The sequence below is a fragment of the Homo sapiens genome, chromosome 3, assembly GCF_000001405.40.
Source record: "Homo sapiens chromosome 3, GRCh38.p14 Primary Assembly".
NCBI classification, from domain to species: domain Eukaryota; kingdom Metazoa; phylum Chordata; class Mammalia; order Primates; family Hominidae; genus Homo; species Homo sapiens.
In genome coordinates, this window is record NC_000003.12 from 89,970,019 (window position 1) to 89,997,209 (window position 27,191).

Below are 27,191 nucleotides of genomic sequence, written 5' to 3' on the forward strand. Positions count from 1 at the left end.
TCAAAACACTTACAAATTCTTTATAAATAAAGTTTGTTTGAGGATCCTGAAGAAAACAATCATGTTTTAGTTAAATCCTACATATTTGTGTGATTTTTATTAATGTTAACAAGGCCATATATAAGAAGCACATATGAATTATAAGAGGAGCAACATAGGTATATGTGAGAAGAGAATGTCGAGGGACGTTACAGGTCTCAGAATCAAGTTAATCTTAACTTTTTTAAGTCATAAAACCTTTCCAGCTAATGCCCTTCCTCCATCTTTTGCTCAACACTGTTAAAAAGTGTGGGGAAACAGCTGCCTTGTATGGTTTTAAAGGTAACAGAATTACTAGTATCTCACAAACTGTGAAGAGATGTGTAGTAATGTGTAAGCAACGTCTTGATTGGTTAATCCTTTTTTGGATAGATTCAGCCTCCTTTAAAAGCGAGCTTGAAAGGAAAGTTGAGGCCATATAGATTTCATCAGGTTGTTAGATACACATTAATACATCCCTCATGCAAAGAGTAAACTTTGCATTAAGGAACACAAACATTAGCTGTCCCATATTTCGATGTAACAATTTCTTCCCTACACACTCATAGCTCAACAAAAGTTCATAATTATCCACAACAATGAGATTGTAGAGTGAACCACATTTTTAAGGGCCTAAGTGCCTGTGGAACTGTCATTTTAAGTTTTGGAAACAGTTTGATGAAAAGAAAAACTAAATAAAAATTTCTGAGCACTTTCAAATAGAAACAAAAATCATACTACTTTAGAATTCCCCAATGAAACCAATTTGGTACCTAGTGGAGTAACATTTACACATATTTATACACAGTTAACTTCTCATCCTATTTACTTGCACTTTGGGGGACAGGAGAGGGGAGAGGGTGTGGGAAGCTATTGCTTTATTTATCTTAACACCTATTTGCCAAGGATACCAGGCAACAGAATTAATACAAAGAGAAAGTAAATCTACCAGGGCCCCACCCTGGTGATTTAAGGGCAGTAAAGTCATTATTCAAGGCTAATTATGAATGTATGTGATTTTTGTCTCATGTCTTTACTTTAGAATCTAACTTTCTCATCAAATGTAAACTCATTGTATTATGTATTTTTCTTAAAGTGTTCAGATAGAGTTCTTACTGCTTACATTTAACCTCTCATCTCAGCTGACAGAAATTATTTCTGACGAATTGCTTTCTGTCAGACTTAGGGAACAGCAACTCCTTAAGCAAAGTCTCAAGTTAAAGAAGCCCCTCATGTTTTAAGTTTGTAACGGAATGTTTTAACTATGGAAACTCCTTTGTCAGACTCTTGGAGAGCCTTTGTTCCCTCAGTTTTTGGGATTCACATTGAATATAAAAGAAAATAAGTCTAATTTTCCATTTCAAGAGATGCAGGGAGTGCAATCTCCCAATATGCAGCAGGGGTGGAGGGAAAAAATTCCGCTCAAATTCCTTCATCTGCTGTTGTTCACCTTGGTTTTCCTTATGCATGTATATTTATTTGCTGACCAAGGAAAAATGTTCCATTGCTTTCATTTCCAAAATGCTTACCATTCTGAGGCTGTATGAAGAGGAATCTTACACAAGATTTAGGACAAAATGTAGAGCATTATATTACTAGTGCAGTCAGAAAATACTTTAGAATCTAATATTAGGCGTCTTTAATTTAAACCCATCAAATATATTCACCTGTAGGGAACTTTTACTCCTTATTTTTTATATGTGATTTCTAGAATCCCATCCTCCATTCCTCTGCTTTGTATCTGCTCCTTCAAACCTTAACATCTTTCCTGATCTCCTACACAAGATATTTTTGCTAAATCTTTGTATCACTCTTGACTTCTCCAGCCATTTTCTGAGGTCTAATGAGCCAGAGAAGAGAGAGGAGAGAGAACGATACTCCCATAACCACTGTGGTCTATCAAGATTTGGGACTATTAAAAAAGAATAAGATCATGTCCTTTGAGCAACATGGATGCATCTTGGGGCCACTATCCTAAGCCAATTAACACAGGAACAGAAAACCAAATACCACATGTTCTCATTTATAAGTGGGAGCTAAGCATTTGGGTGCACATGGACATAAACATGGGAACAATAGACACTGGGGACTACTAGACAAGGGAAGGATGGGATAGGGCATGGACTGAAAAACTACTTATTGTGTACCTATGCTCACTACCTGGATGACAGGATCATTTATACCCTAAACCTCAGCATCACACAATATACCCTTGTAATAAACCTGCATGTGTACTCCCTGAATCTAAAATAAAAGTTGAAATTATTTTAAAAAGAAGATTTGGGGCCAGGCACAGTGGCCCATGCCTGTAATCCTAACACTTTGAAGGCCAAGGTGGGTGGACCACCTGAGATCAGGAGTTCGAGACCAGCCTGGACAACATAGTGAAACAACATCTCTACTAAAAATAAAAAATTATCCGGGTGTGGTGGTGGGTACCTGTAATTCCAGCTACTCAGGAGGCTGAGGCAGGAGACTCGCTTGAACACGGGAGGCGGAGGTTGCAGTGAGCCAAGATCACACCATTGGACTCCAGCCTGGGCAACAAGAGTAAGACAACATCTCAAAAAAAATAATTAATTAATTAAATAATTAATTAAGATTTGGGTCTAAACAGAGATTTTCTTTTCCTAAGTATAATTCAGATGTCTGCAGGGGCTAAACAAAAAACATAAATTCATGGATTAGACATCAGTGAACTTGTGTTTCCCATTTTTTAGGAAAATCCAAAATTCCATAATGTTCTTTGAAATCTCACAGTGTATAAATATTGGAAATCAACCTTTTAAATATTATAAAACACTGTACAAAGCAAATATAATACATTTCCAAGTTATCGCTAGCCTATAGGATACTGTTTAAGGGAGAAAAGCTGTTCACTGTTATCATGAGTTATGTGCACGTTAGATGATTTTTCCTAATGAACACAAGACAACCTACTTTAATTATTACTTTAATTATATATGACAGTATAGATGGCTAACAGGTTTCAAGACCTCTCTCATAAATATACAATTTTATCCTCCTAGTTATGCTATTTATAGACCTCTGTTTCTAATCCTCCAGAAGGAAGATGCATTAGGCTCTCAGCATTTGCTCTATACAGAGTTTTTGACTAGAAAATCAATTTAAAGTAGAAATGTAAAAGGGAAATACATTTAATTTGTCTTTCCCTAAATCCTCCAATCTTCTGGGTTCATTTCTATAAATTTCTAAATTAAATAAGTCAGATCTATGTTCCATATACTGAGGGACACTCTGAATTCTAAGATTTTTTCATGATTCCCCCAGGAGATTACAGTCCTTTGAAATACAACTGCTGACAGCTGCTGTACTCCTTTTGATCACTACTCCCCACACAAAGCCTTATCCTTTATTCTCCAAAGAACCGATAATGCAAGACCATTGCATGTAATACTCAATGTTTAAGATTAAATGAGAAAGGACTCAGTATGTTCAAAATAGGAAAGAAGTCTAAAAGATTATTAGACATTATTTTTCTTAGGATTCTTCTACCGTCCATGCCCCTATCCCCTGTCTGACATCATTTCTTGGCTTACTTGCATACTGTCTCTAAGCAGATATGTCTACCATCTTTTTTACTAATCCAGTTGCAGGTATCCTATCCAGTTTTTCTTTCTCTCTGTTTCTTTGCTTTGTTTTGTCTGTTTCGTAATTTGCTTGCCTTCTATTAAAAGAAGCCAATATTGTATTAAATTCAACAACCTTCACTTACTAAGTGCATAAGTGTCCAAATTATTTAATTCTTAACTTATTAAATGGAGATAAAATATCTATTAACAGAGCTGTGGTTGTGAAGATTAGATATACAATGTGGACAAAACATCTCATATAGTGTCCAACACATGGAGCATACTCAAGAAATTGTCTTTCCCCCACACTACGCTTTGCCTGCTTCTCTGCAACCTTTAATCCTCATTTCTTCTCCCTACATTTCTGTTTAGTCCAAAGTGAAGCAATTTCCTCTTGGTCACCTCTGGTCACCAATGATGTAAATTCTATCATATTTTGCTTCCAAGCTTTATTTTAAAGTTGAAGACACACTTCTGATGTCAATAAATGGCTTCCTGACTATTTCCTGAATAAGAATTACACCTTTCTGAGAATAATGCTGTAATTAAGTCTGTGGAGTTTCCCTCTTTCCATCCAGGATTAACCAACTTTCCTGGGGTTAACTCCTGAAACCCTGCAAACCCTAAGCAGCTATTAGCTCTTTTTGTAATAATTTATTCTTCCTATAATCCATTGCAGTTCTTTCATTCCTCCAAACGTTTCTACCTCACTTCTCATCTCAGACCCTGGCCTTTATTGCAAGTTAGAAGATAATTACTTTGGCTGGTTTTCCTTCTCTCCAGTTTACCACTTCTGATGTTACCATTTAAAACTTTCATTATTTTACATGTAAAAGAATGTACATGTAACTATTTTAATCACTATTCTCCACACAAGGCTTGTTATGGTTTGGCTGTGTCCTCACCCAAATCTCATCTTGAATTGTAGCTCCCACAATTCTCATGTGTTGTGGGAGAGACCAGTGGGAGATAATTGATCGTGGGGGCAGCTTCCCCCATACTATTCTCGCAGTAGTGAATAAGCCTCATGAGATGCAATCTGATGGTTTTATAAGGGGAAACCCCTTTCACTTGGTTCTCATTCTCTCTTGCTTTCCGCCACGTAAGATATACCTTTCACTTTCCAACATGATTGTGAGGCCTCCCCAGCCACGTGGAACTGTGAGCCTGTTAAACCTCTTTTTCTTTATAAATTACCCAGTCTCGGGTATGTCTTTATCAGCAGTGTGAAAATGGACTCATACAAGGGCTTTTCCTTTATTCTCCAAACAACAGATAATGCAAGGCCATTGCATGTAACAGATATTCGATGTTTAAGATTAAATGAGGGAGAACTCAGTATATCCAAAATAGGAAAGAGGTCTAAAAAGAATGTTAGACATTAATTTTCTTAAGATTCTTCTATGTCCCTGCACCCTATCTGACATCATTTCTTGGCTCACTCACATGCTGTCTGTAAGCAGATATGTCACCATCTTTTTTACTAATCCAGTTCCAGGTATCCAGTTCCAGGTTTTCTGTGACAAAACCCATAGCGAATAGTATCTACAATAATTTAAGAAAGATGTTTTTGCCATGAGAATACTTTAATAATTTTGTTTCCCATGACAAACAAAATCCCCACAAAAACTCAACAAGGCCAAAATAGTACAAGGTTTTAAACAACTGGATTTTTTTGGTAATAATTCAAATGAGCTGGACTTTTGAAGCTCAGCAGCATGCACCTGCAGATTAAAGAAACACGATGATGTCATTGTTTAATGTAGCTAAATAACTAAATGCCGTGATACTCACTCTGTTTGGGAGTAAACGTGAAACAGTTGTTGCTTTGGATTTTTTAACTGGATCATGATGCTGTACATAGGAGTGTTTTGTAAGGAAGAGGAATGTAAAGTCTCTGGTATAGAAACACAGACTAGAATGATATAGATTTAAATATTAAATTATCCCAGTTTCCAGATATTAATAAATTTGGCACTGAGAATCACTATGGAATCCCAAATTCATGTGAGATGTCAACAGATCATGAATACAACATCACCACATGACTCCTCTGGAATGTTTTCAAGATTGATCATACACTTTTCTGTCCTTAGTATATTACAGATGGGCAGAATATGTGAAACCCAATTTTCTCTACCAGATTTAAGAAGTAACTGGTACTCAGGATTTCTGACTTTCCCACACATAGGAGAGTTGCCCTATAGCTTGATGCTGTGACTGTTCCTAAGAGGATATTGACCTAGAGTTCCATGTAAGTCAAGAGAGACCTTTGCAGAAGGGTGTTAAGGAAAAACAGTTTAAAAAAATATTTTTTCTTCCAGCTGCTGAAATTGTATAAAATTCAATAATCCCCATTAAAGAAAACAGCTCTTCCAAACTGCTGTTCATCAGTGAAGGTTAATATTAGTAACGATAATCTTTCTTACCATTTACTATACTTCGACTTGGCGAGTGAACACAGGCTAAGAAGGGAATGGCCACAATGGTTTACTTCCCTATGTACCTCAGAAAATACAAGCTTTTTGAAATACAAAATGTAACATTTGAATTTGGAAGTAAAATAAACAACAAAAAAGCAGAACTATAAAGTATTATATAATATAAAAGGAAAGGACAGTGCTGGCCCAGATGCCCAAAATATTCTCCTTCTTTCTACCTGAACTGTCACTTCCATTTGTGCACTTTATAAAATTCCACTTTATTTGCACTAATGAACATTTCATTTCCAATAGATGAGTCTTTAATAGCTTCTCTTTAGAACACATGCACATGCTAAGTTTAGGGCTGGCTTGGACATTGCTTTCATTTATAATAGATAAAAGTTAGTATAAAAGTAACCAGAAGGTTTTGGTCAACTGTAAGTATTACATGAACTAAAATTTTCAAAAAAGTTTGTTAAAAATTTAAGTAGTCTTTAATTAAAACAGCAATATCAGAAAAATACCTTTTTGTTATCTGCAAAGAAGGCCACACTTGAATATTAAATTAAGTTGTAATCATCATGAGTTTATGTCTTGCAGTTCTAATGATTTTCAAAAATTATTTTCTATTTTACATTCATCTTAAACATGTTTCTTGCTAAACACATCTTCCTACACACCCTAACAACATTTTTCATCATCTATTCTGGAGGTTTCAACCTGGAGTGCCCCAGAGGCCTAGGTATTAAGTTCTACTGTATGAAATTGCCATTTTTCTAGTTCAAACATGGTCAAACATCAACAATTTTCTATGGGTAGAGTGGTTAGGATATGTAATAAATTAGGTAAGTTATTTTTATTATTTTTTAATTTCAAAGGTTAAACATTGGCTATCTCATGGTGATCAAAAGCTATGAATGACAATTAATTATATAATTTTATTTAATATATTATATTTTATTTAATATAAATTGGAAATAGAAAAATCCACTAAAGGCTGTTATAAACTTGGAAACTTTGCATAGCAGCTTTAAAATTTGTCATAATAAAAGTCCAAACCACTTAGATATTTAAAAATAGAACTTTATTTTCTTCTTACTGAATTGAACATAATTCTCAAAGGCCCATTTCTTTCAGCAGGAGGAAACAATTTAGATAATAAACTTATTTATTTCCTGTTTACATAAAAGTTTCTTTCTGAACAACTAATCAATTTCAGAGTTCTTTCCTTCCCTATTTTCCTTTTCTTGAGAGGCAATCTAAGCTTGTTGATTAATTTCTCCATCCTTCTCTCCTTCTCTCATCTGAGAAAATGCAGAGAACACCAGACAGTCTTGTCCTGCTGTCCCTTCTCTCTGCTCAGCTCCCACATCCTCTCTTTAGATACCAGCCAGGCCTCTTGTCTCCACAGACTCTACTATGGAGTCCTTCATCCCTCACTGTGACAATTCCTTGACAAGCATAGCATTTCCAATTCTTTGCTGCTTTCATCCCATACTTGACTTGATTTGATCTCTTTCAAATCCAGCAGAAAAATTTAAATGGTGAGTGGAGACAGGGGATTTATCTCTGGACCTTTTCTGGCTAGACATACACTGCTGACATTTTCTCTATTGCAACAGTCTCATGTTGGCATAGGACAATCCGCAACAATGGATTTCCCCATAGTTCCAGACAAGTTCTGGGGCAAATATCACTGATTGAGATAATAGTTGTAAATAATATGATTAATAATATAATTATTGCCATAGTACTCTCATTTATATATTTTCTTTCATGTGTTTTTATAACCCTGTTAGTTATTTCAAGGGTAGAATTAATATATGTTTAATATGACTAGACACTATGACTTATAATTTATTTCACTGATGCTCACAACGACACTACCAAAATACAGAACTGCACCATTTTATTCATGAGAAGACTAAGGTTCCATAATGATGTGATTATTCAAGTTTACTTTATGTTAAATATTGAAGCTAAAATTTAATCTAGAGCTTTCTTAGTCTTTCCTATTGCATCACATATTTTATATAAACTATGTCTAATATACATATATATTGCATCATTTAAATAAATTTTAAAACTATTGGAAAAATAACAAATAATACTCTGAAATGATAAGTATACATTTCCAAATTTCAAACCATTGGGTAAACACACATGTATATTAAAAAGAAACATTGAAACTCCCTCTAATAACTTTTTCATCACAGGACACAATTTATGGCTCTCTGCCATTTAATAATGAGAGTTTCCTGTGATATTACTGGCATTGGGTATAATAACTCATGCTCCAAAACCAATTTATATAGAAAACATTCAATACAAAGATGATTGAGTTCCTGTGTTTCTCTTTTGTCATTTGGCAGCAATTTCTGTGAAACTCAGGAAAGATAGAGTGAAAAATGATGGTAGCTATTTCTTCAAGATATGTGGAAAAGACCAAGAGTATTGAAAGCATGTGTCAGTTAGAATCCTTCATTTTAGATTACACTCATGGAAGGCAGTGACAGAAATCCCTAAGAAGATATCTATCTCTAAGGATTAATAGAGTTTTATGTGAGGATTATTCTTGGTCAAAAAAAAATGTTGTTTTTCTTCTTTCAGTTGCTTATTTGACAACCACTGTGACCACAAACAACATTGGACATTCGAATCTGTTTTTCCAAAGTGTGTGAATGTTGGACTGAGCTTTGGTAATTTTAAACTTATTTTGAAGGCTCAATAGAATCTGTAACCTCTATTCACCAACACTAAAACAATGTATCAGTTACCTCTATCATTGGATATAAAAGTTTTGTGGATGCAATAATTGTAAGGTGATTGGCAATGTCATTTGTAGAACTGACAATTTTGATTTCTTTTAGTATCTTTCATAACCCTTTGAAGGTAAGAGCATAACATCATGTCTTTTCATTCATGCTTAGAACATTCTGAAGTGTTTTTTACTTCAATAATCAACATTGTGGTTATCTCCCCAACAATCATTCCAAACATTCTCCATCATGAAGCAGCAGCATGACTTGGGTGGTATTGGGTAGACTTTGAGTGGTCCACATACTTCAGGGTAATCCCAAACTCCTTATTATACCTAGTGTCACAACAATCTATACAGCAAACGGCTATAGCAAACTAGGACCTATCCAATTAATACATGGCTTTTTCCCAGCTGCTGAGATTAGTTCAAGATTAACCAAATGATCACAAAAGTTGGCATTTATGAAGATAATTCAGAACTGGATGCCCATCCCCTCCTAATGATGTGCTTTGTGGATGTGCCATCAGTTTTCCACCCTGAGGGACACCAGTTTGAAAATAAAACTGAAATACAGAGTAGGCCAGAGACTGGATCAAACTATGTACAGACGTGTTATTTCTCTGAAACTTTTAAACTATATGCATAAATCCTTTTATAATTTAAGCATTTTCAGATAGATTTTGTATAACAAATTAAATAGTCACAATTAATTCTCTCCTGAAATACAAAGTATAGTCAGAACAAATATCTGTAACCAAAATTATCGTCATACCTTATGACTTTCAGTTTAGTTATATATTTTAGACTATTTGCTGAGTGATTAAAATGAATAAGTATATTTTTATTAATTTGCTGAAAAAGTTGAAAGCAAAGAATACTGTATTTTAAGCCACATACTTAGCTGATTAGCCCCTCATGTCCTCCTTCTCTGTAGTCAAATAATCTGAAGATGAGAATGGAATCATAACGATCATCTGGTTTAGCAATCTGTCTGTCTGCACCTTAAATTCTATTCTTACTGGTCATTAACCAACCCTTCATCACTTCCAGTAACAGGAAACTCACACCTCCTGAGACAGCCTCTAGCCTCTCCTAACCTCATTCAAAATTTGTTGGTGAGCTTTATTTTTACTCATATTAGAATGCTGGGTACTACTTTACTGAAAATCCTGTAAACTTTAATGATATTTTCCTCTCTATCTGGATAATAATTTTTCACATCTCTATCACTTCAAGCAAAGCATCCTATTCTAGTTGCCTTTAAAATTCCTGCTGCTTTTATGTAAGGTTATTAGTTCTATTTCTTTTTAATCAATCCACTTCAAGCTGTTACATTTTTCTAACATCAATTATGATTGCTGAATTAAGTAAAGGAGTTGTGCTTTTCTGTACTGAACAGCCAAAAATTACTAAAACTGGCTGTGTCATAGACGGCCAGTAACAAGTTGCCAATTGCCTAACAAGATAGTTAACTTTTCTTCCTTGCTGAAAGAACTCCTTCTTTGTACAATATGGTGGGCATGAATCGCAAAAAAATGACATTTCTCTATGTCCTTTATATGTATGAGTGATAGAAGTGGTCATGAGACACAGTGCTGGCCAAAGAGAAATAAGAGGTTTTTCAGTGTAACATTCATGAAAGGAATGGCTTCAAATAGTATGTGTCTTTTGCTCTGTGTCCTTTGCCTTGAACAGAAAATTAGAAGAAACATGAGACATGTTGGAATTATAAAACATCACCCATAGATAGCCTATCTTTGAGCTTATTATTATGTGAGAAATATAAAAGCCTTAATTTTTGAGCAAATACTTTCCAATAACAGCTGAATAGTAGTAATAACCTCTTGTCATCAAAATAAATTTGTGTCCTTAGCAAATAGACAACAGTGTAAAATTATAAAAATACTGTAAAGTTAGCAAAGATGTGGAATGCTTAAGCATTTAAAAATTACATTGATCCCTTTTTATGAATGTGCCCTTCCATCTCCAGGGAGTTGTCCAAGTAAGCCTTGGATGGTAATTTAATTATGATATGGTTTCTTTCATACTCAGATCTTGCAATAAATAAAAAAAGATATAGACATCTTATGTTTCTATCTATCAGTTGTTTTGAGACACTTAACTAAGTTGCTATTTACACTAAAGGAAAATATATATGTGCGTATATGTATGGACTATTTGTTTATACCATACATATACATACACACACACACACAGACAGGAGATACAGCAGGGAATAAACAAGAACATAGGCATGAAAAATATGAAAAAGTCCTGAGAGTAGATTAAAAATAAAATATTAGGAAAATTAGAGAAGTTTTAGCCTTGGGATTAAAGTATTTACAATGACCCAAATATCCATCACCAAGGGACTAGGAATATTTAAATGTCAGTAGTAATTTGAAGAGAAACACATACACTATTCCACTTGCTTTTGTTTCTACAAACTTTGATTTTAGCTAATTTACCTACGACTTCAATTCACTCATGTATTTGATTTTATGGTATACTAACAGTAAGTAATAATCATTCTCATCACTCTGATCATCATCATCACTATCATCACCACCACCACCAAGGCTTGTGAAAATTATTATACCATACTCAAAGTGATTTAATTGGAGAAATACTATTATTCTTATTTTATAGATTGGGGAAATGTGAATCAAATATAGTAAATATTTTAGGCCATGTAATGTAGTTAGTGGCAAATGTAGAAGGACAAAATGTAGAAGGACAAAGACCTAGTGGTAGACTTTAGTCAGGCTCACTGCCTCGGCATATCAAAGTAGTCATATTTCGAGAGCCAAATTTAAAGAATAAGACTGATACTATCACTAATGGCATGTCCATCACAAATGCATACCTGAAAAAATTATGTTATCACAGTCTAATATTGGGTTTCAATTGCTGACCACGGAGTAATTGTCTCACTTGAATCTTAGTGTGCTCCCTCTCATACACAAAGACTTTCCTACCACCCGAAATGCAATATGTACTGTTACTGTTCTCTTCAAGGGAGAAGTGACCCAGAATGATAATAGGTCAGGGGCACAAAGTGTACTACATATGAACATAACAAGAATTTGTTGACCTAGTTGGTGTTTCTGATTGTTTGCCCAGTTTCTGTGTCATTGATGCCTTCTCTAATGTTTGATTTTTGATCTTCCATTTACTTTGGGACTATTTATTTTGTTTTTGTTTGTCCCCATCTTTTTAGCATGGGACCTTATATCACTAGCTTAATGTCTTTCTTTTTTTCTTATATAAACATTGTTAATTCTCAATTTTCTCTAAATACGCCTTCTGTTGCATCCAACAAAGTTTGATATACTGTATTTTCACTTTCATGTAGTTAGAAATATTTCCTAATTTTCCTTCTTATTTATTTTTGACACACAAGTTATGAATTAGTAAGTTGATCAGTTCCCCAATATTTGTAAACTTTCATGCTGTCTTATTGTTAATGACTTCTAATTTAGCATAATTGTTGTCAGAGAGTATGAGTTAAATTGTTTTATTTTGCTGTCACTTTTTAAAAGACCCAACATTTTCTATTTTGGTGAAGATTTCATGTGCGTTTAAAAATAGTGTACATGTGTAATTTTTAAAGGTGTCAAGAATTGTGAAGGAGCTGAGATTTTATCCAACTTTCAAGCTAACAAGCACGCTACAGGTTTGTGGATGCTGACTGAAGGCAAGAGACTCTTCTGTCAGAGACAAAGTTTAATTTATTACTCACAGCAAAAGCAGTAGCCAGAGTATTGATCCTGGGTGTGTCTGTAAGGGTATTGCCAAAGGAGATTAACATTTGAGTCAGTGGGCTGGGGAAGGCAGATCCGCCCTTAATCTTGTGGGCACGATCGAATCAGCTTCCAGCAACTATAAAGCAGGCAGACAAACATGAAAAGGCAAGACTGGCCTAGCCTCCCAGAGCACATCTTTCTTCCGTGCTTGATGCTTTCTGCCCTTGGACATCAGACTCCAATTTCTTCAGTTTTGAGATTCAGACTGGCTCTCCTTTCTCCTCAAGCTTGCCTATTTTTTTAGGTTTGGAAAGTTCTCACTTATGATCTCTTTGAGTAAATTTTCTCTCTCTCTCTCTGCTTCCTCCTTAAGGCCACTGACTCTTAGATTTGCCCTTTTGAGGCTATTTTCTAGATCTTGTAGGTGTGCTTCATTCATTCTTATTTTTCTATTGTGGGACCTTGTGATTGTGTAAGTTAATACTTAGTAAACTCCCACATATACATATAACTTTTAAATCATATATATACACACACACACACACACACACACACACACACAGAACTAATTAGATATAGATATATATCCAATAGCCAATATATCTTCTAGATAACCCCAATTAATACAGCTGGCTTTAAGTGTAACCCAGCACAATCCTAACAGTAGTGACCACAGGAATGCTTGCATCACTTATTCTCCAACTCCAGGCAGCTCAACATAGAAAGACTCCATTTGTTTGAGGGAAACTAAAGAAAGAGAACAAGAGACTCTTCCCAGTAATCCAGAGAATTCTTCTGGATCTTACCCAAGACCACCAAGGTGGTACCTCTACAGGTCTATAAGAGTCACAGCATTACTGAGCTTGGGGTGCCCCCAATACACTTATAGACCAAAGACTTAGTTTACAACACTCAATTCTCTTTGAATACTTGGAAATCATCCTCAAGAAACACAGATACCAACAAGCCCAGACTGAACTCAAGATTAGAATAAATACCTACTCTACAATGACAATACATTAACAAACAACCACTAGTGTCAAGACCATACAGAAAAACATGACCTCACCAATAACACACCAGCGACAAGACCATACAGAAAAACATGACCTCACCAATAACGCACCAGCAACCAATTACAGAGTGACAGAAATATGTGACCTTTCAAACAGAGTATTGAAAATAACTGTTTTAAAGTAGCTCAACAAAATTCAAGATAACACAGAGAAGAAATTTAGAGTCCTATCAGGTAAATTTATATAAGTATAGCTATTCCTGCTCTTTTTTTGGTTTCTACTTACATGAAATACCTTTTTCCATCCGTTTGTTTTCAGTCTTTGTCTTCATAAGTGAAGTGTGTTTCTTATAGACAACAGATCATTTTTTTAAAAATCCATTTTGTCTCTGTTTTTCTTTTGATTGGAGTGTTTAGTCTATTTACATTTAATATTATTATTGAAAAGTAAGGACTTACTCCTGCCATTTTGCAAATTTAACAAAGAGGTTTAAATGATTAAAAAGAATCAAGCAAAAAATTCCGGAGATAAAAAATTCACTTGACAAACTGAAAAATGTACTGAAGTCTTGAACAGCAGAATTGATCAAGCAGAAGAAATAATTAGTGAGCTTGAAGACAGGCTATTTGAAAATACACACTCAGAGGAGACAAAAGAAAAATAAGAATGAATGAAGCACACCTACAAGATCTAGAAAATAGCCTCAAAAGGGCAAATCTAAGAGTCACTGGCCTTAAGGAGGAAGCAGAGAGAGAGAGAGATCAGGGTAGAAAATTTACTCAAAGAGATCATAAGTGAGAACTTTCCAAACCTAAAAAAAAAAATCAGTTTTAAAGCACAAAAAGGTTATAGAACACCAAACAGTTTTAACCCAAATAAAACTGTCTTAAGACACATAATAATCAAATTCCTAAAGTTTAAGGATAAATAAAGGACCCTAAATGCAGAAGAGAAGGGAAAAAAAATTACACAGAAAGGATCTGGCAGCAGATGCCTCAGTAGAAATCTTACTGGCCAAGATAGTGGCATGAAATATTTCAAGTCCTGAGGAAAAAAACAAAACAAACAAACAAACAAACAAAAACCTTTCATCCTAGAATAGTATATCCAGAGAAAATATCCTTCAAACATGAAGAAGAAATAAAAACTTTCGGCCGGGCGCGGTGGCTCACGCCTGTAATCCCAGCACTTTGGGAGGCCGAGGCGGGTGGATCATGAGGTCAGGAGATCGAGACCATCCTGGCTAACAAGGTGAAACCCCGTCTCTACTAAAAATACAAAAAATTAGCCGGGCGCGGTGGCGGGCGCCTGTAGTCCCAGCTACTCGGGAGGCTGAGGCAGGAGAATGGCGTGAACCCGGGAAGCGGAGCTTGCAGTGAGCCGAGATTGCGCCACTGCAGTCCGCAGTCCGGCCTGGGCGACAGAGCGAGACTCCGTCTCAAAAAAAAAAAAAAAAAAAAAAAAAACTTTCCCAAACAAAAGCTAAGGAATTTCATCAACACCAGACCTATCCTACAAGAAATGCTCAAACGAGTTCTTCAATCTGGAAGAAAAGGATGTTAATGCGCAATAAGAAATCATCTGAGGAAAAAACTTACTAGTAACAGTAAGTACACAGACAAATACAGAATATTATATCATTGTAATTGTGGTGTATAAACTATGCATATCTTCAGTGGAAAGAATAAAAGAAACCTGTCAAATATAATAGCTACAAATTTAAAAAATGGAAAGAATAATAAGACATGAAAGATATGACTACAAACAAAAAGTTAAAGAGCATGAGGGGTGAAGTTAAAGTGTAGAATTTTATTAGTTTTCTCTTTGCTTGTTTGTTTGTGCAATCAGAATTAAGTTGTCATCAGCTTAAAATAATGGGTTATAAGATGTTATATGCAAGTTTCATGGTAATCTTAAATCAGAAAACTTACAACTGATACACAAAAATATATAAAGTAAGAAATTAAAACATTCCACCAGAGAAAATCACTTGCACAAAAAGGAAGATAGAAAGGGAGAAAGAAGAAAGAGGAGACCAGAAAACAACAGCAAAATGGCACGAGTTAGTCCTTACTTTTCAATAATAATATTAAATGTAAATAGATCAAACACTACAATTAAAAGACAAACAGAGACCAAATGGATTTTTTAAAAAAATGATCTGTTGTCTATAAGAAACACATTTCACTTATGAAGACAAATACTGAAAATAAAGGGATGGAAAAAAGATATTTCATGTAAGTAGAAACCAAAAAAGAGCAGAAGTAGCTATACTTATATAAATAGATATCATGACAAAAAATATATAGGAAGAGACAAAGAAGGTCATTATATAATGCTAACGGGATCATTTTAGCAAGAGGATGTAACAATTATAAATATACATGGACCCAACAATGGATCATTCAGATATATAAAGCAAATATTATTAAAGCAAAAGAGAGAGATAGACCCCAATACAACAACAGCTGGAAACTTCAATACCCCACTTTAAGCAATGGACAGATCATCCAGACAAAATCAACAAAGAAACATCAGACCTAAACTCTTCTACTGACAAAATGATCCTAATAGATATTTACAGAACGTTTCATCCAATAGCTGAAGAATACACATTCTTCTTTTCAGTACATGAGTCATTCTAAGGGATAGATGGTATATTACTCCACAAAACAAGTCCTTAAATTTCAAAAAATATTGAACACATATCAAGTACCTTCTCTGACCACAGTGGAATAAAGCTAAAAATCAATAACAAGGGGAACTTTGGAAACTATCTAAACACAGGGAAACTAAACAATTTGCTCCTGAATTACCAGTGGATCAATGAAGAAATAAAAAACAAAATTTTTAAATTTATTGAAACAAAAAATAATGGAAACACAACATACCATAACCTATGGGATACAGCAAAAACATTACTAAGAAATAATAGAAAAACTTCAAATAAAAAACCTCACAATTTATCTTAATAAGAAAAGCAAGAGCAAACCAAACTCAAAATTAGTAGATGAAACGAAAAATAGAAAAGATCAACACAACAAAAAAAATGGATTTTTTGAGAAGATAAACAAAATTGAGAAAACCTTCACCAAACTAAGAAAAAAAGAAAGAATACCCAAATAAATAAAGTCAGAGATGAAAAGGAATACATTACAACTGATAGCACAGAAATTCAAGAATCATTAGAGATTATTATAAACAATCACATTTCAATACATTGGAAAACCTACAAGTAATGATAAAATTCCTTTATATATTTAACCCACCAAGACTGAACCATAAACAAATCCAACACATGAATAGACCAATAACAAATAATGACATTTAAGCCATAATAAAAAGTGTCCCAGCAAGGAAAGCCTGATGGTATAATTGCTGAGTTTTACCAAACATTCAAATAACTAATACCAATTCTACTCAAATTATTCCAAAAAAAAATAGAAGAGGGAATACTTCCAAACTCAGTCTACAAGGCCAGTATTTCCCTGACACCAAAACCAGATAAGGACCCATAAGGAGAGAGAGAGAGAGAGAGAGAGAGAGAGAGAGAGAGAGAGAGAAAGAAGAGAAGAGAAAAGGAAAAGAAAAAGAAAAAGGAAAGGAAAAGAAAAGAAAGAAAGAGAAAGAAAGAGAGAGAGGAAGGAAGGAAGGAGAAAGGAAAAATAAAAGAAAACTAGAGGCAATATCTCTGATGAACCTTAATGGAAAAATCCTCGATAAAATATTAGCAAATTGAATTTAACAACACATTAAAAAGATCGTTCACCATGACCAAGTGGGATTTATCCCAGGGACACAAGGGTAGTTCAACATATATAAATCAAACAATGTGATACATCACATGAAAAGATTGAAGGACAAAAACCATATGATCATTCCATTGGATGCAGAGAAATCATTTTATAAAATTCAACATCTATTAATGATAAAAAAACTCAAAAATCTGGGTATAGAATGAACATATCTCAATATAATAAAACCATGTACAATAGACCCATAGTTAGTATCATACTAAACAGGAAAAATACTGAAAGCCTTTTCTTGAAGTTGTAGAATAAGGATGCCCACTTTCACCACTGTTGTTCAGCATAGCCCTAGAAGTCCTAGTTATAGCAATTAGACAAGATGAAGAAATAAAAGGCCTCCGAGGTGGAAAGGAAGAAGTCAAATTATCTCTGTTTGTCAATAGTATAATCTTACATTTGGAAAAACCTAAAGACTTCACCAAAAAACTTTTAGAACTGATAAACAAATTCAGTAAAGTTGCAGGATACAAAATCAACATAAAAATTAGCAGCATTTCTATATGCCAAAAGTGTCTTAATTTCTGAAAAAGAAATTAAGACAGTAATTTGATTTATAATAACTATGGATGAAATAAAACACATTGGAATAAACAACCAAAACAATGAAACATCTCTATAATAAAAACTATAAAACATTGACAAGAGAAATTGCAGAATACATAAAACAATGGAAAGATATTTTATGTTGGTATAATTTGGCTCTGTGTCCCCACCCAAATCTCATGTTAAATTGTAATATCTAATGTTGGAAGTAGGGCCTTGTGGGAGGTGATTCAATAACTGAGGTTGTTCTTATGGTTTAGCACCATCCCCCTAGTGCTGTCTTCTGATAGATTTCTCCCAAGACATGCTTGTTTAAACGTGTATCATTTCTCCCCCTCTTTTTCCTCCTAATGCCATGAAAGACGTGCTTGCTTCCCCTTCACCTTTTGCCATAATTGTAAATTTCCTGAAGCCTCCTGATATTGTTTGGCTCTGTGTCCCCACCCAAATCTCATCTTGAATTGTACTTTGATAATTCCCATGTGTTGTGGGAGGGATCCGATATGAGATAATTGAATTATAGGGGTGGGTTCCCCACACTGTTCTCATGTTTGTGACTAAGTCTCACAAGATCTGATGGTTTTATCAGGGGCTTCTGCATTTGCTTCTTTCTCATTCTTTGCCACCACCACCTAAGAAGTGGCTTTCACCTTCTACCATGATCATGAGACCTCCCCAGGCACGTGGAACTGTGAGTCCATTAAACCTATTTTTCTCCCCAGTCTTGGGTATGTCTTTATCATCAATTTGAAAACAGACTAATACAGTAAATTTGTACCAGTAGAATGGGGTGCTGCTGAAAAAATACCCAATAATGTGGAAGCAACTTTGAAATTGGGTAATAGGCACAGGTTGGAACAGTTTGGAGGGCTCAGAAGAAGACAGGCAAATGTGGAAAAGGTTGAAACCTCCTAGAGACTTTTTGAATAGCTTTGTCCAAAATGCTGATAGTGATATGGGCAATAAAGTATAGGGTGAGGTGGTCTCAGACAGACTTGGGGAACTTGTTGGGAAGTGGAGCAAAGGTGATTCTGATTCTTGTTATGTCTCAGCAAAGAGACTGGTGGCATTTTGTCCCTGCCCTAGGGATTTGTGGAACTTTGAACTTGAGAGAGATGATTTAAGGTATCTGTTGAAAGAAATTTCTAAGCAGCAAAGCATTCAAGATGTTACTTGGGTGCTGTTAAAAGCATTCAGTTTTACAAGGGAAGCAGAGTGAAAAAGTTTGGAAAATTTGCAGCCTGACAATGTGATAGAAAAGAAAAACCCATTTTCTGAGGAGAAATTTAAACCAGCTGCAGAAATTTGCATACATAGCAAGGAGTCGAATGTTGACCCCCAAGAAATGGGGAAAATGTCTCCAGGGCATGTCAGAGGTCTTCAAAGCAACCCCTCCTATCACAGGCCCAGAGGCTTAGGAGGACAAAAATGGTTTCATGGGCAGGACCCAGGGCCCCCTGCTGGGGGGACTTGGTGGTCTGCATCCCAGCCACTCTAGCCATGGCTAAAGGGAGCCAAGGTTCAGCTCAGGCCATGGCTTCAGAGAGTGCAAGCCCCAAGCCTTGGTGGCTTCCATGTGGTGTTAAGCCTGCAGGTGCACAGAAGTCAAGAATTGAGGTTTGGGAACTTCTACCTACATTTCAGAGAATGTATGGAAATCCCTGGATGTCCAGGCAAAAGTTGGCTGCAGGAGCCGAGCCCTCATGGAGAACCTCTGCTAGGGCACTGCAGAAGGGAACTGTGGGGTTGAAGGTCCCACACAGAGTCCTTACTGGGGCATTACCTAGTGGAGCTGTGGGAAGAGAGCCACAGTCCTCCAGACCCAAGAATGATAGATCAACTGACAGCTTGCACCATGCAACTGGAAAAGCCACAGACACACAACACCAGCCCATGAAAGCAGCTTGGAGGCAGGCTGTGCCCTGCAAAGCCACAAGGGCAGAACTTTGTAAGACCATGGGAACCCACCTCCTGCATCAGTGTGTCCTGGATGTGAGACATGGAGTCAAAAGAAATCATTTTGGAACTTTAAGATTTGACTGCCCCACTGGATTTTGGACTTGCATGGGACCTGCAGCCCCTTTGTTTTGGCCAATTTCTCCCATTTGGAATGGCTGTATTTACTCAATGCCTGTACCCCCATTGTATCTAGGAAGTAACTAACTTGCTTTTGATTTTACAGGCTCATAGGCAGAAGGGACTTGCCTTGTCTCAGATAAGACTTTGTACTGTGGGCTTTCAAGTTAATGCTGAAATGAGTTAAGAGTTTGGGGGATTGTTGGGAAGGCAAGATTGGTTTTGAAATGTGAGGACATGAGATTTGGGAGGGGCCAGGGTGGAATTATATGGTTTTGCTCTCTATCCCCAGCCAAATTTCATCTTTAATTGTACTCCCATAATTCCCATGTATTGTGGGAGGGACCCATTGGGAAATAATTGAATATGGGGGCTGTTTCCCTCATACTGTTCTAGTGGTAGTAAATAAGTCTCACAAGATCTGATGGTTTTATAAGGGGTTTCTGCTTTTGCTTCTTTCTCATTCTCTCTTGCCACCACCATGCAGAAATGCCTTTCACCTTCCACCATGGTTGTGAGGTCTCTCCAGCTATGAGGACCTATGAGTACATTAAACCTATTTTTCTTCGTGGTCTCAGGTATGTCTTTATCAGCAGCATGAAAATGGACTAATACACCTTTCCAGAAGTAGAAGTCTGTACAGCCTGCAGAACAATGAGCTACTTAAACCTCTTTAACTTATAAATTACCCAGTTTCAGGTATTTCTTTATGGCTGTGGATGAACAGACTAATACAGAAAATTGGGGCATTGCCATAAAGAAACCTGATAATGTGGAAGTGACTTTGGAACCAGGTAATGGACAGAGGTTGGAACAGTTTTGAGGACTCAGAAGAAAACAGGAAGATGAAGGAAAATTTGAAACTTCCCAGAGACTTGTTGAATGGTTGTGACCATAATGTTGATAGTAATATAGATGGTGAAGTTCAAGCTGAGGTGGTCTCAAATAGAAATGAGAAACTTATTGGGAACTAATAAAGGTCACTCTTGCTATGCTTTAGCAAAGAGACTGGTGGCATTGTGACCCTGCTCTAGAGATCTGTGACACTTTCAACTTGAGAGAGATGATGTAGGATATATGGCAGAAGAAATTTCTAAGCAGCAAAGCATTGAAGGCATGGTCTGGCTGCTTCTAAAAGCCTATAATCATTTGCATAAGCAAAGAGAGTATCTAAAACTGGAACTTATATTTAAAAGGGAAGCAGAGCATCAAAGTTTGGAAAATTTGCCACCTGGCAATGTGGTAGAAAAGAAAATCTCCTACTGGACCACTGCCTAGTGGAGCTGTGAGAAGAGGGTCACCATCCTCCAGACCCCAGAATGGTAGATCCACAAGCAGCTTACACCATGCACTTGGAAAAGCTACATTTACTAAACATCACCCCATGAAAGCAGCCATGGGAGCTGTATCCTGCAGAGCTACAGAGGCAGAGCTGGCTGAAGTGTTAGTAACCTAGCCTTTGCATAAGTGTGGCCTGAATATGAGACATGTAGTCAAAGGAGATTATTTTGAAGCTTTGAGATTTAAAGACTGCCCTGCTGGATTTTGCACTTTCACTGGGCCTGTAGCCCCTTGGTTTTGGCTGATTTCTCCCTTTTTCAATGGCACTATTTACCCATTTGTGGATAACTAGGATAAATTTGTGGAATGGGACTATATATCCCTATTATGTGTTGGAATTAACTAGTTTTTTATTTTACAGGCTCCTAGGCGAAGGGACTTGCCTTGTCTCAGATGATGCTTTGGACTGAACTTTTCAGCTAATGCTGAAATGAGCTAAAACTCTGAGGACTGTTGAGAAGAGATGGTTGTAGTTTGCAACGTGAGAAGGACGTGAAATTTGGGAGGGGCCAGGGAAGAATGATATGGTTTGACTCTGTCCCTGCCCAAATCACATGTCAAATTATAATACCTAATGTTGGAGGTGGGGCCTTGTGGGAGGTGACTGGGTCATTGAGGTGGTTTCTAATGGTTTAGCACCATCCGCCTAGTGCTGTCTTTTGATAGAGTTCTCCCAAGATCTGCTTCTTTAAACTTGTGTAACACCTCCTTTCTCTCTCTCTTCCTTCTGTTCCCTGCATGTAAGATGTGCTTTCTTCCCCTTTACCTTCCACCATGATTGTAAGTTTCCTAGGCCTCCCCAGAAGCAGAAGCCCGTACAGCCTGCAGAATAATACATTATTTGAACCTCTTTTCTTTATAAATTAATCAGTTTCAGGTATTTGTTTACAACAGTGTGAGAACAGACTACTACACATGTTTATAAATTGAAAGAATTAATATTGTCAAAATGTCCATACTACCCAGAGCTATCTGCAAATTCACTGCAATCCCTATCAAAATACTAATGCCATTCTTCAAATAAATAGAAAAAAAAACTCTCAAATGTGTATGGTTTCTTCAACTTGAAGTATTAAACAAAGAAAAAAAACAGAGATAGGCAAATGTGTATGGCACCACAAAAGACCAAGGTTAGCTAAAACTATTCTAAGCAAAAAGAACAAACTGGAGGAATTATATCACTTGACTTTAAATTATACTACAGAAGTATAGTAATCAAAACAGCATGTTACTGGCATAAAAACAGACACCAACATAGACCAATGGAACAGAATAGAGAACACCAAAATAAGTTCATACATCTACAGTTAACTCATTTTCACCAAAGATGCCAAGAACATACATTGGAAAAAGGACAGTCTCTTCAATAAATGGTTCTGGGAAACTTGATACTCATGTACAGAAGAATGAAATTAGACACCTATCTCTTGCCATATACAAAAATCAAATCAAAATGTATTAAAGACTTTAAAACCTCAAACTATGAAACTACTGAAAGAAAACATTGAGGAAACTCTGCAGGACATTTGTCTCGGCAGTGGTTTCTTGAGGAATACCTCACAATCACTTGCATAAAGTAGAAAAAGCAAAAGTGGAAAAATAGGATCACATCAAGTTAAAAAGCTTCTGCACAGCAAAGGAAAAATCAACAAAGTAAAGAGACAATCCATAGACTGGGAGAAAATATGCAAACCATCCATCTGACAAAAGGTTTATGACAAAAATATATAAGAAGTTCAAACAACTGTATAGGAAAAAATCTAATAATCTGATTTAAAAATGGACAAAAGATCTGAATAGACATTTCTCAAAAGAAGACATACAAATAAGAAGCAGGTGTATGAAAGGTGCTCAACATCATTGATCATCCAAGAAGTACAAATCAAAACTACAACAAGATATTATCTCACCCCAGTTAAAGTGGCTTTTATCCAAAACATAGGCAATAACAAATGCTGGTGAGAACCTGGAGAAAGGGGAACCCTCGTACACTGTTGGTGGGAATGTGAATTAGTAAAGACACTATGGAGAACATTATGGAAGTTCCTCAAAACACTAAAAATAGAAATCCCATGTAATTCAGCAATACAACTACTGGATCTATACTTCAAAGAAAAGAAAACAGTATATGGAAGAGGTATCTGTACACAGAGGTATCTGTACATCTGTGTTTATTGTAGCTCTATTCACAATAGCCAGGATTTGGAATCAACCTAAGTATCCATCAACTGACAAATGGATAAAGAAAAAGTGGTAATTATACACAATGGAGTATTAGCCATAAGAAGAATGAGATCCTGTCATTTGGAACAACATGAATGTAACTGGAGGATATTGTATTAAGTAAAAAAAGCCAGTAACAGAAAGCTAAGCTTTGCATGTTCTCACTAAGTTGTGGGAGCTAAAAATTAAAACAATTGAACTCAGATAGAGAGTAGAATGATGGTAACCAGAGGCTGAGAAGAATAGTGCAGGGGGAAGTCTGGAAATGGGGAAGGTTAATAGGTACAAAAATATAGTTAGATACTATGAGTAAGATCTAATATGTGATAGTACGATAGAGTGACTACATTTAGCAATTATTTTCATTTTTATTTTTATTTTTGAGCCAGAGTTTCATTCTTTCACCGAGGCTGGAGTGAAGTCGCATGATATTGGCTCACTGCTATCTCCACCTCCCGGGTTCAAGTGATTCTCCTGCCTCAGCTTCCCGAGTAGCTGGGAATATAGGTGCTCACCACCATAGCTGGCTAATTTTTTTGTATTTGTAGTAGAAATGGGGTTTTGCCATGTTGACCAGGCTGGTCTCAAACTCCTGACCTCAGGTGACCCACCTGCCTCGGCCTCCCATAGTGCTAGGATTACAGCAATCAGCAATAATTTGTTGTACATTTTATAATAACTGAGGGAATACAATTGAAATATTCGTAGCACAAAGAAATGATGAATGCTTGAGGTGATGAATACCCCATTTACGGTGATATGATTATTACATATTGTATGCCTGTATCAAAATATCTCATGTACTCCGTAAACATAAACACCTATTAAGTACTCATAATTTATTTAATTTTAAAATAAATAAAAAAGAAGCCCAAGAAAAGTAAATAATATTATATTTTCATTTCACCTTCTTTTTTTACAGTTTATGTTACTGATTATTAAATTCTAGGTTGAAAGTGGCTGCTAAATGTTTTGTTTTTGTGTGCTTTTTGAGTAGTTTGCTTGTTTTCTTCTCAGCAAATTAATAATGTTCTCTAGTCTTCTGGCTTCCAGTGTTCTGGAAAAAAGTAAGCCATAATTTGTGTATTTATTCTCTTCTATTTAATGTCTCACTTTTCTGGTTGCTTTTATATACTCTTTTTAATTTTGATTTTTGGCCATTTTGCTATGATATAATTAGGTGTGGTTTCCTTTGTACTTATTCTGTTTGGAAGTCATTATGATTCCTGCTAGTGTGGGTTGATATATTTCATCAAGTCTGAAAAGCTCTTGGTTTTTATCTCTTCAAATATCTTTTCTTCATTATTTTCCCTCCCCTCTCTCTCTGGGATTCTACTTATAAATAAGTTAGGAATTGTAACACAAATCTCTTTTGTTTCACTCTTATTTTTCTTTTTGTTGAAATGCGAATATTTCCTATTGACATATCTTTAGGTACATTTATCCGTTCTTCTGTCCAATTGCCATTAACCCTATAAAATAAATTATTAATTTCTATATTATTATTTACATTTCTAATAATTCCATTTTCTTCTATAGCAGATTCTTCTTTCTTGCACCATTTCACTAGAGGTAAAAGCAGCTGTGTAGTTTCCTCTTATTAAATACTCATCACTGAAAGAGCATAATTCTTTTCAGTTTGAGATCTCTGATGGGTTTATAAAACTAGATTTTGTAGGTTACATAGATTGTTTGGGTTATTAGGATAAGACTTTTTACACTTTCCACATTTAAACTAAAAACAAAAGTGTTATTTAGTTTTTTTAAATATAAAGACTATAGAACTATGATATGTATTACTATGACTTCATTTTTAATTCAACCAATAATTAGACCAGTGGTCCTATCAAGAATCTAAAGATTTATGCTCTGGAACTTGCACCCCCAGGATCTAGAGGCTCATGCTCTGCAATTGGCACTGCAATGGATTACCTGTGAGGCTTGTGGGACTATATTTTAATCCTACAGTTTCTCTATATGTAAATGTATTAGAGTGGTTGTCCCTGGAAAAAGACAGAAAGAACAGCATTCAAATATAAATTTAAGAGACTTCATCTTTATTTAAGGCTCAATTCCCTTGAAAAATAAAAAAGAAATATGAGACCACTATGGCAGAATGTTAACAGTGATTAATTTTGGAAAGCCAATATCATACTAGCCTTTGTAATTTTCCATGGTTTTTGTAAATTTTTCAAAATTAAAAAATGTATACTAATAATATAAACACATCACCCTAACTGATGGAGCAACAAATGACACAAAGGTAAAATGACTAAAGATCAGCCAGAATAAGATGTCTAATAATGCAAAGCTTATAAAGATTTCAAGGAAATTGTTAATGGCCTGATGTTCCACAAACTGTCAGGTCTTCCACTTGTCATTTGATATGAAAGTTGGCATATATGGAGGAGTGGAGCCAAGATGGCCAAATAGGAACAACTCCAGTATACAGCTCCCAGAGTGAGTAATGCAGAAGATGGGTGATTTCTGCATTTCCAAATGAGGTACCGGGTGTATCTCACTGGGGAGTGTTGGACAGTGGGTGCAGGACAGTGGATGCAGAGCACTGAGCATGAGCTGAAGCAGGGCGAGGCATCACTTCACCCGGGAAGCACAAAGGATCAGGCAATTCCCTTTCCCAATCAAAGAAAGGGGTGACAGATGGCACCTGAAAAATCGGGTCACTCCCACCCTAATACTGCACTCTTCCAACAGTCTTAGCAAATGGCACACCAGGAGATTATATCCCACGCATGGCTCGGAGGGTCCTACACCCACAGAGACTCACTCATTACTAGCACAGCAGTGTGAGATCAAACTGCAAGGCAGCAGCGAGGGTGGGGGAGAGGTGCCTGCCATTGCCGAGGCTTGAGTAAGTAAACAAAGCAGCCAGGAAGCTCGAACTGGGTGGAGCCCACTGCAGCTCAAGAAGGCCTGACTGCCTTTGGAGAGTCCACCTCTGGGGGCAGGGCATAGCCAAACAAAAGGCAGCAGAAACCTCTGCAGACTTAAATGTCCCTGTCTGACAGCTTTGAAGAAAGTAGTGGTTCTCCCAGCATGCAGCTAGAGATCTGAGAACAGACAGACTGCCTCCTCAAGTGGGTCCCTGACCCCCAAGTAGCCTAACTGGATGGCACCCCCCAGTAGGGGCAGACTGACACCTCACAGGGCTGGGTACTCCTCTGAAATGAAACTTCCAGAGGAACAATCAGGCAGCAACATTTGCTGTTCACAAATATCTGCTCTTCTGCAGCCTCTGCTGCTGATACCCAGGCAAACAAGCTCTGGAGTAGACCTCCAGAAAACTCCAACAGACTTGCAGCTGAGGGTCCTGACTGTTAGAAGCAAAACTAACAAACAAAAAGGACATCCACACCAAAATCCCATATGTTCATCACCATCATCAAAGACCAAAGGTAGATAAAACCACAAAGATGGGGGAAAAAAAGAGCAGAAAAACTGGAAACTCTAAAAATCACAGCACCTCTCCTCCTCCAAAGGAACACAGCTCCTCACCTGCAATGGAACAAAGCTGGATGGAGAATGACTTTGATGAGTTGAGAGAAGAAGGCTTCAGATGATCAAACTACTCTGAGCTAAAGGAAGAAGTATGAACCCATGGCAAAGAAGTTAAAAACCTTG